Source organism: Homo sapiens, chromosome 7, assembly GCF_000001405.40.
Source record: "Homo sapiens chromosome 7, GRCh38.p14 Primary Assembly".
NCBI lineage: Eukaryota > Metazoa > Chordata > Mammalia > Primates > Hominidae > Homo > Homo sapiens.
In genome coordinates, this window is record NC_000007.14 from 23,755,718 (window position 1) to 23,768,274 (window position 12,557).

General features: G+C 37.3%; 1 protein-coding gene across 9 annotated transcripts in view; it reads left to right on the plus strand.

The window, feature by feature from the left end:
* STK31 (serine/threonine kinase 31) overlaps positions 1 to 12,557 on the plus strand; it is a 122,432-nt gene that overhangs the window by 45,636 nt on the left and 64,239 nt on the right. For all 9 annotated transcript variants that reach the window (NR_048542.2, XM_011515452.4, XM_011515449.4 and 6 more), the window contains one exon: positions 7,084 to 7,206. Coding sequence is in view for 8 of the 9 variants with exons in the window: in XM_011515452.4 (XP_011513754.2) it covers positions 7,084 to 7,206 (123 nt within the window). In the remaining variant the exon portion in view is untranslated. The remainder of the gene's footprint in view (positions 1 to 7,083; positions 7,207 to 12,557) is intronic.

Consider the following 12,557-nt stretch of genomic DNA (forward strand, 5'->3'; position numbering starts at 1 on the left):
GTCTAGTTTTCCCAGCACCATTTACTGAATAGGAGATGCTTTCCCAATTGCTTGTTTTTGTCAGGTTTGTCGAAGATCAGATGGTTTTAGATGTGTGATGTTATTTCTGAGGTTTCTGTTCTGCTCCATTGGTCTATATGTCTGTTTTGGTACCAGTAGCATGCTGTTTTGGTTACTGTAGCCTTGTAGTATAGTTTGAAGTCAGGTAGCATCATGCCTCCAGCATTGTTCCTTTTGCTTAGGATTATCTTGGCTATATGGGGTCTTCTTTGAATCCATATGAAATTTAAAATAGTTTTTTCTAATTCTGTGAAGAATGTCAATGGTAGCTTGATGGGAATAGCATTGGTTCTATAAAATTTTTTGGCCAGTATAGCCATTTTCATGATATTGAGTCTTCCTATCCATGAGGATGGAATATTTTTCCATTTGTTTGTGTCCTCTCTTATTTCCTTGAGCAGTGGTTTGTAGTTCTTCTTGAAGAGGTCCTTCACATCCCTTATTAGCTGTATTCCTAGGTATTTTATTCTGTTTGTAGCAATTGTGAATGGGAGTTCATTCATGATTTGGCTCTTTGCTTGCCTCTTGTTGGTGTGTAGGAATGCTTGTGATTTTTGCACATTTATTTTGTATCCTGAGACTTTGCTGCAGTTGCCTATCAGTTCAAGACGTTTTTGGGGTGAGACGATGGGGATTTCTAAATATAAAATCATGTCGTCTGCAAACAGACAACTTGTCTTCCTCTCTTCCTATTTGAATACCCTTTATTTCTTTCTCTTGCCTGATTGCCCTGTCGAGAACTTCCAATACTGTGGTGAATAGGAGTGGTGAGAGAGGGAATCGTTGTCTTGTACCAGTTTTCAAAGGGAATGCTTCCAGCATTTGCCCATTCAATTTGAGGCTGTGGGTTTGTCATAAATAACTGTTACTATTTTGAGATATGTTCCGTCAATACTTAGTTTACTGAGAGTTTTTAACATGAAGGCATGTTGAATTTTATCGAAGCCCTTTCTGCATCTATTGAGATAGTCACGTGGTTTTTGTCATTGGTTCTGTTTATGTGATGGATTACGTTTATTGATTTGCGTATGTTGAACCAGCCTTGCGTCCCAGGGATGAAGTGGACTTGATCGTGGTGGGTAAGTTTTTTGATGTGCTGCGGGATTCGGTTTGTCAGTATTTTATTGAGGATTTTCGCATCGATGTTCATCAGGGATATTGGCCTGAAGTTTTCTTTTTTTGTTGTGTCTTTTCCCGGTTTGGGTATCAGGATAATGCTGGCTTCATAAAATGAGTTAGGGAGGAGTCCGTCCTTTTCAGTTGTTGGGAATAGTTTCAAAAGGAATGGTATCAGCTGTTCTTTGTATTTCTGGTAGAATTCGGCTGTGAATCTGTCTGGTCCTGGGCTTTTTTTGGTCGGTAGGCTGTTAATTACTACCTCAATTTCAGAGTTTTTGTTATTGGTCTATTCAGGGATTCAGCTTCTTCCAGAAGGGGTGGCCAGCCCCTGCACACCTGTGGGCGTTTCTCGTCAGGTGGAACGAGAGACTTGAGAAAAGAAAGAGACACAGAGACAAAGTATAGAGAAAGAAAAGTGGGCCCAAGGGACCGGCGCTCAGCATGTGGAGGACCCGCGCCCGCCGGCAAAGGTCTCTGAGTTCCCTCAGTATTTATTGATCATTATCTCTACCATCTCGGAGAGGGGGATGTGGCAGGACAATAGGGTAATAGTGGGGAGAGAGTCAGCAGGAAAACATGTGAACAAATGTCTCTGTGTCATAAACAAGGTTAGAAAATGTGCTGTGCTTTGATGTGCACATACATAAACATATCTGGTGCATTAAAGAGTAGTATTGCCGTCAGCATGTCTCACCTCCAGCCTTAAGGTGGTTTTCTCCTGTCTCAGTAGATAGAACATACAATCGGGTTTTACACCGAGACATTCCATTGCCCAGGGATGAGCAGGAGACAGATGCCTTCCTCTTATCTCAACTGCAAAGAGGCCTTCCTCTTTTACTAATCCTCCTCAGCACAGACCCTTTATGGGTGTCGGGCTGGGGGACGGTCAGGTCTTTCCCTTCCCACGAAGCCGTATTTCAGACTGTCACATGGGGAGAAACCTTGGACAAGACCTGGCTTTCCTAGGCAGAGGTCCCTGCGGCCTTCTGCAGTGTTTTGTGTCCGTGGGTACTTGAGATTAGGGAGTGGTGATGATTTTTAACAAGCATACTGCCTTCAAGCATTTGTTTAACAAAGCACATCCTGCATAGCCCTAAATCCATGAAACCTTGAGTCGACACAGCACATGTCGTAGGGAGCACAGGGTTGGGGGTAGGGTTGCAGATTAACAGCATCTCAAGGCAGAATAATTTTTCTTAATACAGAACAAAATGGAGTCTCTTACGTCTACTTCTTTCTGCATTGACACAGTAACAGTCTGATCTGCCTTTCTTTTCCCCACACTACCTGGTTTAGTCTTGGTAGGGTGTAGGCATCCAAGAGTTTATTCATTTCTTCTAGATTTTCTAGTTTATTTGTGTAGAGGTGTTTATAGTATTCTGTGATGGTAGTTGGTATTTTTGTGGGGTCAGTGGTGATACCCCTTTAACATTTTTTGTTGAGTCTATTTGATTCTTCTCTCTCTTCTTCTTAGTCTAGCTAGTGGTCTGTTTTGTTACTTTTTTTAAAAAACAGACCCTAGATTCATTGATTTTTTTTTGGAGTGTTTTTTTTGTGTGTGTGTGTCTCTGTCTCCTTCAATTCTTCTCTGATCTTATTTCTTGTCTTCTGCTAGCTTTTGGGTTCATTTGCTCTTGCCTTTCTAGTTCTTTTAATTGTGATGTTAAGGTGTTGATATGAGATCTTTCTAGCTTTCTGATGTGGGTATTTAGTGCTATAAATTCCTCTCTTAACACTACTTTATCTGTGTCCTGGAGATTCTGGTACATTGTCTCTTTGTTCTCATTGGTTTCAAAGCACTTCTTGATTTCTGCCTTAATTTCATTATTTACCCTGGAGCCATTCAGGAGCAAGTTGTTCAGTTTCCATGACATTGTGTGGTTTTGAGTGAGCAATACTAACCTTAAATGTAAATGGGCCAAATGCCCCAATTAAAAGACACAGACTGGCAAATTAGCTAAGTGGTCAAGACTCATCTGTGTGCTGTATTCAGGAGACCCATCTTCCGCACAAAAACACATACAGGCTCAAAAGAAAGGGATGGAGGGAAATTTACCAAACAAATAGAAAGCAAAAGAAAGCAGAGGTTGCAGTCCTAGTCTCTGATAAAACAGACTTTAAATCAACAAAGATAAAAAAAGACAAAGGCATTACGTAATGGTAAAGGAAACAGTTCAACAAGAAGAGGTGACTATTCTGAATATATATGCACCCAAGGAGCACCCAGATTCATAAAACAAGTTCTTAGAGACCTACAAAGAGACTTAGATTCCCACACAATAATAATGGGAGACTTTAACACCCCACTGTCAGTATTAGATCAACGAGACAGAAAATTAACAAGGATATTCAGGACTTGAACTTAGCTCTCTATCAAGTGGACCTGATAGACGTCTGCAGAACTCTCTACCCCAAATCAACTGAATATACATTCTTCTCAGTGCCACATGGCACTTATTCTAAAATTGACCACATAATTGGAAGTAAAACACTCTTCAGCAAATGCAAAAGAACTGAAATCATAACAAACAGTCTCTCAGATCACAGTGTAATCAAATTAGAACTCAGGAAATGTTATCTTTCTAGAAAGACAAGGAACTGGAGATATTGTAATGATAGTTTGTGTAAAACCTTTAACTTTTACAGTATCTTCATATTAATAATTTCCTTCATTTATTGCCTTATAAGAAAGGTGTAATAGACAACTGGTGATTGTGGATAAGGGGTAGCAAAATCTTTTCCCTTTTTGCATGAAAACTTTACCTTTGGTTAACTCCCTCTCTTTGTTCCCTTGGTAATGTGATAAAATATTTCAACTGTGTTACTAGGCAACATTATTTATGGTAAGTATAACTTATGATTGTCAAACTGCATCTGTACTGGGAGAAACTACAAACTACAAATACTTGATGTGGACTCTTGTAACTAAACATGCCCCTTGAGGGACCCTGGAAGCTATACCTATGGAGTTGTTACAAGAGATACTGGCTTTTGAGGGACATTAGGCTTGTAAACCAGAGTGGCTTTCATACATGCTAATGTGGAACTTTTCTGGTCTGAGTGGTGTGTTTTATGCATGTAAGACTCTGCCTTACTATTAATTAGTGTCTGAGTCACCTATTGTTGGGAGGTAGTTGTTTGTGTGTGTGAGTAGGGGTGTGAAAATGAAATATTTTACATAAATTCTTTATTAGCTTAGGTACAAGTATATTTATTTCCTGTTGCAGTTTTCTTTAATTTATTGTATTGGGCTGAACAGAACTTCCTGTTTTTCTTGTAAACCATTCCCTACAACCACCATAACTTTCCCTAGCACCTGTGAGCTCTATACTTGTTGTGTTTGGACTTGTTCCATCTTAAATATTTGTGGTTTCTGCCTCTGTGGATTATACCCTGTAAATCTTACTCCCTAGTCATACCTAGGTTGATCAGTTGGCAGCCTGACTGCCTCTGAATGAGAAGTATGAGCAGGATAACTAGGCTTTTGAAAATGCCAGGAATGTTTAGTTTGGAGAAGGGATTTGATTTTGGTTATTTTACGTATTAGATTCTAACTGATCACTTCTGATTATGGGAGAAAGAAGATGACAGCAGAATGATTAATTTTTTAATTTCTATGAAACACAGGCAGTGTGTTTATAAACATTTTCTTACATTAACTTTTAAAATGGGCATATTTGCTCCCATTTTATAAGTGAGGAAACAGGCTTACAAGGGTAAGGAAATTGTTCAAGATTACCTAGTTGTAATTTTTTAAAATTAAAAAATTACTCTTTTTTTTGAGGTATGGTCTCACTCTGTCACCCAGGCTGGAGTGCAGTGGCACGATCACAGCTCACTGCAGCCTCAACCTCCAGGGCACAAGAGATTCTCCACTTCAGCTTCCCAAGTAGCTAGGACTACAGGCGGTGTACTACCAACCATGCCTGGCTAATTTTTTTGTACTTTTTATAGTGACGGGGTTTTACCATGTTGTCCAGACAGGTTTTGAACTCCTTGGCTCAAGTAATCCTCCTGCCTTGGCCTCCCAAAGTCCTGGGATTGCAAGTGTTAGCTACCATGCCCGTACCCTAGTTCTAAATGTTAATATGGAACTTGAACCCAGACATGTCTGACAGCAAAGCCTATTGTTTTTCCATTGAAACCACACTATTGATATTAAAATACTTCTTAATGTATTTTCATGTAAGATGAAAAGATGTAAAAAAACCTGCCTTATTTGTTTTTGTGGTTTGAGCATAGTGAAAGTATTCAGGATGGAGCTTTAGCACTTACTATCCTATGAGTACAGATGTGACTTTTTTTGAAAGCAGAATTTTTTTTTTCTACTACTGCTTGTGTTTCCGGACTTAAAGTTTACTTGATAGATGGAAGTGTAGATTATTGGCTAAATATATAATCATAATAGCCACTCAAATGAAATCGTCATTTTATTTCCCTTATTGTACTTATTTTGGTTTAGAATTGATAACTTTTATTCAAGTATTTTGCATAGTTCTTTAACTTGATTGCCATGTGGCCATATGCTTTTTTTTTTTTTTTGAGACGGAGTCTCGCTCTGTCGCCCAGGCCGGAGTGCAGTGGTGTGATCTCGGCTCACTGCAAGTTCTGCCTTCCGGGTTCGTGCCATTCTGCTGCCTCAGCCTCCCGAGTTGCTGGGACTACAGGCGCCTGCCACTCTGCCCAGCTAATTTTTTGTATTTTTAGTAGAGATGGGGTTTCACCATGGTCTCGATCTCCTGACCTCATGATCCGCCTGCCTCGGCCTCCCAAAGTGCTGGGATTACAGGCGTGGGCCACCGTGCCCAGATGTTTTTTTTTTTTAATGATGAAAACAGTAGGCTTTACTTGAGGTCTTTTCTTTTTTATTTATAGTTTTAAAATAATCTGGTTGAGCTTATGCAAGAAAAAATATCCTAAAATTCAGGCTTTTATAGTTTTATAGTTTTATAATGTATTTTATAGTTTTATTTATAGTTTTAAAATAATCTGGTTGAGCTTATGCAAGAAAAAATATCCTAAAATTCAGGCTTTTATAGTTTTATAGTTTTATAATACATTTTATAGTTTTATTTATAGTTTTAAAATAATCTGGTTGAGCTTATGCAAGAAAAAATATCCTAAAATTCAGGCTTTTAAGTGTATGTGCCAGACACTGTTATAGGTAATAGAGATTAAAACTTTTTTATTTTATTTCATTTTATTATTATTTTACTTTTAGGGTACATGTGCACAATGTGCAGGTTAGTTACATATGTATACATGTGCCATGCTGCTGTGCTGCACCCATTAACTCGTCATTTAGCATTAGGTATATCTCCTAATGCTATCCCTCCCCCCTCCCTCCACCCCGAGATAAAAATTTTTAAAAGACATATCCTTTCTTTCTTTCTTGGGTACAGGATGGATATATTAATATATAGTTTTAATACAGTATGGTAAGTGCTATAATAAAGAAAATGCATAGAGTTCTTGGATATCTTTCACATATGTATTTCCAAACACAGCCTGTTGGACAAATTGGAGGGTTTATCCTGGTGTTTAAGTGTATCTTGAAGGATGAGTAGCTGAAGGAGTTGAGAATGGGATGGGAATAGAAAAGAGGCCATATGTAATTAGTAGGAACTTATATAATTTTCTGTAAGAAAAACAAAAATTTCATTGTTGCAGAAATAATGGGAAAAATAAAAATTAGATCAGAGTTGTTGAACTTAAATGTTTTATTTTTAATTAAGAGAAAGGAAGTTTTTTTGTCATTTTGTTGATCTAAGGAGAGAAATGTCCTAAGTGCTATAATGTTTGGAGAATATAAAGTTAATTTTGGAGATCACTTTTTTTCATATAGGTCATATGCGGAAAAGACCTGATGTATTAATGATGGTTATTCTTTTTTTCTTCCTCCAGAGTGAAGGGAATATTTTGATTGCCCAAAGAAATGAAATGCAGCAGAAGCTGTACATGTCAGTAGAAGATTTTATTCTGGAAGTTGATGAGTCATCTCTTAATAAACGCTTAAAAACATTGCAGGTTGGAATTAAAAATATATTAAATATACGTTAAATTGTAAGTTTATTTAAGAAGTGAAATTAGCATTTACCTTAAGACTTTAGATTGTTCTGTGATGGTTGCAAAAGTTTTTCCTGTTTCCTGAATTCTGATTTCTTTTTAATGGGATTAAAAGTTTATATTAATATATTTTGTGGCTATGTTTATATGCATATCTATCTTGCAAACAAGGTAAAATGGCTAGGGACTCCAGTATTCACTGGGGAAATTAATGGAGACAGGAGCAGTAGCAGGTATGTGGGTCCCTATCGTCCATTGCATTCTAGCAGAAAATGTAGTAGGACCACATGTTACAGGGAGAAGGGATCAACTCTGATCCATAAATTATAGGGTTTTTAGGCTCCATGACCAGGGAAGTTTCTCCCTGATGTGATCAGAGGCTAGAGTACTGTAGTACATATAGCTATATGATATGGTGGAATCTTGTCTTCAGCTCTGTCTTGCCAGCTCAGGAATGACTTTAATTCGGGGTGAATGAACATGACAGTGTTAAGTAATTTCACCTAATAATAGTGTTTCTCTCTACTTATTCAGATCTTTTTTTGTCCTTTAATATTGTTTAAAATTTTTCTCTATAAGTCCTCATGCTTTTTTCTTCATTTAACTTTTATTTATTTATGCTTTTGATTGCTTTTATGAATATTATCTTGTCATTTCCTAGTTTTGATTGAATAGAGGAATACTGTTCATTTTTATGTACTGGTGTTTCTCTGATAACTCTGCTGATCTCTCTTTTAGTTCTCATTTGTCTGTTGATACTCTGCTTTCTGTGTTTTCAAATGTTTTCATTTGAAATGTTTTCATTTTCTAATGTTTTCATTTGAAATGTTTTCATTTTCAAATGTTTTCATTTCATTTTCAAGTGTTTTCATTTGAAAACAATAACTCTTTAATCTTTTCTCTTCTAGTCCTTTTACCTTTTATGTATCTTTGAATTTTTACTGCTTTGGTCAGTTACCCTAGTACTAAGCTGACCAGTAGCTAATATCGATCTTGTTGTGGACTGCAGGGAGTAAGCTTGCTAGAAATTTGGAGAAGAAGATATTCAGGGACATCTGGGCATTGTTTCTTTCTGTCCTGCTGGATGAAGATGTAGTTTTGATGATGCACCACATGGCTTAAGAACCATTGGAGCCCTGGTTTGAAACATTTTCTTAATTGGAATTGCATAAATAGTATAAGTTCTTCCAGAATGTTGAAGTAAGCCTTGCATATAAAAGGGCAGTAATATAGTAAGAATTTAGCTTTCCACAATGCAGCTTCTACTTTGTCCCTTAAAGGTTTATTTCTTCTCACTGTTAGTAAATGTAGGTTAAGGTTCTGTAATTAAGATCATCTTTAAACCTCTTTTCTTTTAAAAGTTCAATGCTAGAAGACTTTTTGCCTTAACTGGCTTGTCTCCACTTCTAGTATTCCCTCAGGTCACCAAAATATTCTTTAAACTTCTCTTTATTTTGCTGAGAAATAGTTTATATTTTTCAAGTATCCAAGAAAGATATTTCTATAATGAAGGTCAAATAAATGAAAGTTCTTGATTTCTGATTTCCTCAGCATTTTATTTAGACTTCTTTTGTGGCATACAATACATGTTTGATTTTTTGTGACTGGTCTTCTTAAGTTCAAAAAGAAATTGTATTCTCGGTTTTCTTGGTGTACAGTTTTAGATATATCTAAAACTTGCTTAGGTTTTGGTTGGTTCAGTATATCAGTCTTTGAGATATTTTTGTTACATATATCTGAAATAGATAGGTTTGTCCCTATTTGTCCCTATTGTTCTTTTGGTTCTTGTTCAAAGTATTTCAGCGCCACATTGTTGGGTGTTAAGGTATTCATGATTGTAATGTATTTAAAAATGTGTATCCCCCCCATGACACATGTTTACCTATGTAACAGACCTTCACATGTACCTCCAAACCTAAACTAAAAGTCAAAAATAATAATAAAAATGTTTTCTTTTTAACTACTATGTAATCTTATTTTTTCACTTAGATTTTAAAAAATAAAAATTTTTTTGTTTGCCTTTTAAGTTCGTATCCCACCTTTCTTTTTGGTTAACACTGCAACATCTTTTCTTTTTTTCTATTTTTATTTTATTTATTTTTATTTTTCTTGAGATGGAGTCTCGCTCTGTCGCCTAGGCTGGAGTGCAGTGGCCGATCTCCGCTCACTGCAACCTCTGCCTCCCGGGTTCAAGCGATTCTCCTGCCTCAGCCTACCTAGTAGCTGGGATTACAGGCACACACCACCATGCCTGTCTAATTTTTTGTATTTTAGTAGAGATGGGTTTCACGATGTTGCCCAGGGTGGGCTCGAACTCCTGAGCTCAGGCAGTCTACCCACCTTGGCCTCCAAAGTGCTAGATTTACAGGTGTGAGCCACCGCACCTGGCTTCTCCCTTTATTTTTAACCTTTTGTATTCACGTTTTGAAATAACCTCTTGATAACACACTAATGGATTTAATTTTTGAAAGCACCCAACGTATATCTTTTTTGTTGGTAACTTAATTTACATATTTATAATTACTGTTTTATTAAAACTTATTTCTGTTTATCATCGTTTCTTTTTCTCTCTTTTTCTAACTTACACCTCTTATACTTTTTTTTTTTTTTTTGAGATGGAGTCTCACTCTGTTACCCAGGTTGGAGTGCAGTGGCACAGTCTTGGCTCACTGCAACTTCTGCCTCCTGGGTTCAAGTGATTCTCCTTCCTCAGCCTCATGAGTGGCTAGGATTACAGGCAGGCCTGGCTAATTTTTGTGTTTTTAATAGAGATGGGGTTTCATCATGTTGGCCAGGCTAGTCTTGAACTCCTGGCCTCAAGTCATCCACCCGCCTCAGCCTCCCAAAGTGTTGGGATTACAGGCGTGAGCCACTGTGCCCGGCCACTCTTCTAATACTTTAGAACATTCTTATCTGCCTTTGGTGTCTTTCCTCTCTTTCTCTACCTCCTTCCCCAAACCAACCAGTGAACCTACCACAATTGTCTAGGATTTTAGTCACGGGTTATTATAGATATTGTGTGTGATAGCTCAGTTAAATAGACTTTAGAGTTATTTTTCCATTCTTATTTCATAAGTCGTTTATCTCTTGGCTTTCTCTGTATATTGGAATATTTTCTCTAAGAGTGCTTTCAAAGAAATCTTTGTGTATTTGATTTTGCGAGTTATTTGATATTTCAGGATATCTCATTTCAATCTCAAATACAAATAGTTGTTTAGCTGACTATAAAATAGCAAGTTCAAAGGCCATGTTTCCTTTACACCTTTGACAATAATAATCTATTGTTTCATTTCTATCATTTTATTTCTTTATTTATTTGAGACAGAGTCTTGCTCTTTCACCCAGGCTGGAGTGCAGTGGTGCCATCTCAGCTCACTGCAACCTCTGGCTCCTGGGTTCAAGCAATTCTCATGCCTCAACCTCCCGAGTAGCTGGGACTACAGGCATGCACCACTGTGCCCGGCTAATTTTAGTAGAGATGGGGTTTCACGATGTTGGCCGGGCTGGTCTCGAACTTCTGACCTCGAGTGATCCGCCTCTCTTGGCCTCCTAAAGTGCTGGGATTACAGGTGTGAGCCAAAGTGCCCAGCCTTCTTATTTCCATAATTGTTATCAGTCTAATCTTTGTTCTTCTGTGATCTTTTTTCCCTCTGGAAGTTTTAAAATTTTCTCTTGACTTTGTTCTTAAGTTGCATCAGAACATGTTTATGTTTTGACTGAATCTGAGCCAGTTCAGTCTGAGGTTTTATATATTTCTTTAATTGTAGGTAATACTTGATAATTATTTATTGAGATACTTCTCTCCCCCATTAATTTTTTCTCTTATTCTGAGACTTCTGATAGATATTTCAGCTTCTATTTCTGTTATCTACATATTTTAATGGCTAATCTATTGTTTAAAATCTTTTTATCTTATGTAGGAGGTGGGTTAAACTAAATAAATAAATACAATCTTTTTATCTTGTTGGTGTCTTTTTGGAGGGATCCTTGACTTAACCATGTAGCTAATGAATTAATCCTCTAGCTGTGTCCCTTCTGCCATTTAGCCAATCCATTGCATTTTGTATGTCAAAGATTATTTCTTTTATATTTAATATCTTCAGTTGGTTATTTTTTATTTATAAGTACTTGGCTTTTGTGTTTCCAATATTCTTTCTTTTGTTGAGAATATTTATTATGCTTATTTTTGAGTTCTTACTGTTATCTGGGCCATTGACACTGATTTTGCTTCCTTTTTATAAAGTGGCTTAGTTTTTTATACTTCTTTCAGAGTGCTTGTGCTGTTCACACCATTTTATCCTCTTCTTATCTCTCCTCAAGATCTCATATTCCCTTGGAACTATAAGCTACCTTAGTTCTTTGCTGTTGTGTAGTTATATGAAGGGCCTAGGGAAGAGTGAAAGTCTGGACCACAACTTTTAAGACTTTGGATAGGTTTAGGGAATAGAATGGGGTTATTTTTATTTTTAAGGGTCTAGCTTCTGATGTTGCCATCTGGGATTATCTACTTCCTCTTTGCTTCTCTCCTGGGTGGTCTGTCCTACTCTTCAGCAAACCTCTATTCCCTCTGCCTCAGCTACTGCTCCTTTCCAGGCACTACCACCCTTAGATGTAAATGCTGCCAGATATTCAGGGGAGAAGTGAAGGAAAGAGAATGGTCAGGGGCTGGCCAGCTCTTCTGTATTGGTTATCAGTTTTTGCCTCATCTGTGTTCTTGTGCTGTACTTGCATAAACCTGTTGCCTCTTGATGGTGCTGCTGTTTTTCTTTCTGATGTGAGGGAGAGAGAAGAGCCTATGAAAAAAGTTTTCTTTTCCCACAGGTAATTCTGTGCTGTGACACAGTCCTTCTTTCACTTGTAGGGACTTTGTTAATTCAATGCTAAACACCAACCATCCTCTGCCTAAGATTTCTCAGAGTTTTGTGATTAAAAACTTCTGAGATCTCTTAAGCTTTTTTTCTTATCTCTGTAAAATTTCTAGGGTTTGATTTCTGGAGAGAGCTAGCAGGCTGTGCCTATCTTGTCTTTTCCAATTCTTTATTACATTAAAAAATTTTATTGTTACTGTTATTTTTTTTTTGTGCACCTGCCCCGACAAACCCAGCCAGGCCAATTCATTAAAAAAATGCCTTTAAGTACAGTCAAGGGCTGCATGGTTTGGTCAGTGATGGACTGCATATATGGTGGTGGTGCCATAAAATTATAGTACTTAACTGTACCTTTTCTGTGTTTACATAGGCAATCATTGTTACAATTGCTTACATTATTCAGCACAGTAACATGCTATATCTAGGAGCAGTAGGCTATAGCAT